The 2,825-nt window shown below is 40.2% G+C and overlaps 2 annotated features.

The window, feature by feature from the left end:
* Nucleotides 697-1,442: an enhancer, noted in NCBI's record as "OCT4-NANOG-H3K27ac hESC enhancer chr7:25343265-25344010 (GRCh37/hg19 assembly coordinates)". NCBI's record gives its function as "activates a minimal SCP1, AML or CMV promoter by ChIP-STARR-seq in naive H9 embryonic stem cells {active_cell/tissue: H9 hESC(naive)}" and the evidence as "EXISTENCE:reporter gene assay evidence [ECO:0000049][PMID:30033119]".
* Nucleotides 1,443-2,188: an enhancer, noted in NCBI's record as "OCT4-NANOG-H3K27ac hESC enhancer chr7:25342519-25343264 (GRCh37/hg19 assembly coordinates)". NCBI's record gives its function as "activates a minimal SCP1, AML or CMV promoter by ChIP-STARR-seq in naive H9 embryonic stem cells {active_cell/tissue: H9 hESC(naive)}" and the evidence as "EXISTENCE:reporter gene assay evidence [ECO:0000049][PMID:30033119]".

The raw sequence follows: 2,825 nt of genomic DNA, 5'->3' as shown, positions 1-2,825 counted from the left end.
TTCCTGATTCTATCATAGCTAGAAAAAAAATGCAGTGAAGGAAAGAATTGTGTGCTAAGTCATGAACCCGCAAAAGCAAAAGGGACTTCAGGGGACTGAGAAGCTCAGTTAGATGAGGTTGCTGGCTGGGAGATGGATGGTGGGAAGAGGCAATCAGAATGTGATGAGAAAGAAGTGAAACAAACTGGGTTTGGATCGTGACAGTCCCCCTACTCCCTTACGCTTTCTCTGGCTACACAGGCACAGAGTCACATCTTCCTGGGAAACCTCCAGCCTGTGTTATTGGAATCTTAAACCTGAACGGGATATGAAAGGTCACTAATACTTAGTCTTTGTGACAGATTCCATACTGTTACTCAACTCTGTACTTTGTGTTCTGTGTCTATAGTTTGACTCTTTAAATACATTATCAAAAATTTCATGGGAGGAACCTTCCCTTAATTGTAACTAATTAGGAACAGGCACAGTGACTTAATCAACAACAGTTGTTAAAGCATTTCTACATGCCAAGAGCTCCCTACATATTATATTTAATCCTCAAAATAATTCTGAGGCACATATTATAATTATTTCCATTTTATAAATGGGTAAACTAAGTCAGGAGAGCTTAGGTAATCTGCCCAAGATCACAGAGCTCATAAATGGAAGAATCAGGATTTGAAACCAGGTTGTCTCATCCTGGAGTTTGTGTTTTTAAACTTCAATACTCTACCTGCTTCCCTGGTAAATACTTAAGAAGGTGTTGTTGAATGAATAGAATAAGTGGATGTCGTCATTATTTTTTAATTGAATACTTGCTAATTGAAATACTCTTAGTACATTATTTAATTCTTCAACAACTAAGTGATTTCCTTTATCAAGTCACCAGTGGGCTCCATATTCAAAGAACATAAAGAGCCTACCAGTATTTCTCAGAGGTCTGTGAAAGAGAAACTGCTTCATTAGCTGGCAAAGCACCAACTCTGTCCAGACCACTGGGTTCTTTTCTCTAATACACATGAAAGCTCCCTGAGTGTTGAAGTTTCTCTCTTTCAGGGTGTTAGGCGATCTGATATTACTCTACATCTCAGAAGCATCTCAATCTTAAAAGCAAGAAAGCAAGCAAGATCAAGAGAGGGCTTGGGAATGTACGTCACTGACAGTTGGTGGTAGTGAAGGATCAGACAACTTTCAAATTCAGAGAATAGCCTGGGTGGGGTCCTCATATCTGGCCATCACCCAGAAACCACTAGGAGCCAGGAAACTCTGAGGGAAGGACACAGCTAAGATTTCTATTTAAACCCTAAAATAGGAGGGGTGGGGGTGAAAAGATTGCCCACTGCTATTTCAGAGCCAAATGCAGGCACTTGGGAATTTAAACCCATTATTACTTATCCTTGGCTGGGAAACAGGATGAGCAAAAAAATGAAGGTGCTGACAGCTCTGTTTTCAGACAAGTACCAGAGCAAAATCAAAGTCAGGACAAGCATCAAAGGAATGCAAGCAATGTGACATTCCTGCATTATTTAGGGATGTGAAGAGAAGGGGAGCTGTTCTCCTGAGGAAGGAAAAGCCCTCTCTCTCCTAACATTGGCCAAGAGGAGATGCCTTGCCATGCAATTCCCCTTCTGCAGAGCAGCTGTGCAGGAAAAGCGCCCTCCTTTCCCATGATTCTCATGTGTTTTGACTGATGCTTGTGGAATAGTTTAAACTCAGGCTTTCAAAGGTTGGCCAAACAAATCTTGGACAGAAATGTCAAACTTCAACAAACTATCATGTCCAATGTCTCAATTTCAGCTCAGTGTTTAGACTGGAAGGAAAGCAGATGAATAAAACAAACAATTTTGTATTTACATACATACATATTTGATCACCACGAAAATGACCCACTGCCAGATCACCAAAGGATATAGGTCACAACAGAAGCATGTGGAAGGTACAACTGCAAAGCAATGAGACTTTAATAAGTATGCCATAGTTTATCGTATGAATGAAAAATGTTGTCCTTGAGAATCACCATGGAAATAAGTCACTTATTCTAACAATAGTGCCATTAGTAAAAACATAGGAAGAGTTTGTGAAACATACATAAAAAAGTATTGCTTTACAACGATGAAAAGCTCAAACTCCACTCTGTCACCAACTAGCTGTGTGACCTTAGAAAATGTACTTAACCATAATCTTTCATATTTTCACTGATCAAATGTGAACATTAATTCCTTTGATGCCTGAATAAAATACAGGTGTATGTAAATTTTTGACATCTAGAAAGTACTCACAAATTGTGGCTATAATAATTATCATCATTAATGATGATAATAAGGAACAGGAATCAGCCATTTAAAAGCTATGGAAACTTGAGCAAGTGCCTCAGCCTCTCTGATTCTCAGGTTACTCATTTGAAAAGAAGGTAGAGGCTGAGCATGGTGGCTCCCGCCTGTAATCCCAGCACTTTGGGAGGCCGAGGCAGGCCTCCTACTTGATGTCAGGAGTTTGAGACCAGCCTGGCCAACATGGCAAAACCCTGTTTCTACTAAAAATACAAAAATTAGCTGGGTGTGCGTGCTACTTAGGAGGCTGAGGCAGGAGAATCACTCGAACCCAGGAGGCGGAGGTTGCAGTGAGCTGAGATTGTGCCACTATACTCCAGCCTGGGCAACAGAGCAAGACTCTGTCTCAAAAAAAAAAAAAAGGCGGACGGTGGGTGGGGGGAGGAGGCTTATAAAAAGAAGGTATAATAACATTTCATAAGGTTAATAGAGAGATACATGTGAACATATGAAAAGCATCTAACATAGTCTCAGCTACATATTTGATGCTTAATACAAATTCTCCTTTTTAGTGAC

The sequence above is a fragment of the Homo sapiens genome, chromosome 7 (genome assembly GCF_000001405.40).
Source record: "Homo sapiens chromosome 7, GRCh38.p14 Primary Assembly".
Lineage (NCBI taxonomy): Eukaryota > Metazoa > Chordata > Mammalia > Primates > Hominidae > Homo > Homo sapiens.
Note: the sequence above shows the minus strand (reverse complement) of the source record. Positions and strands in the feature narration are given on the sequence as shown.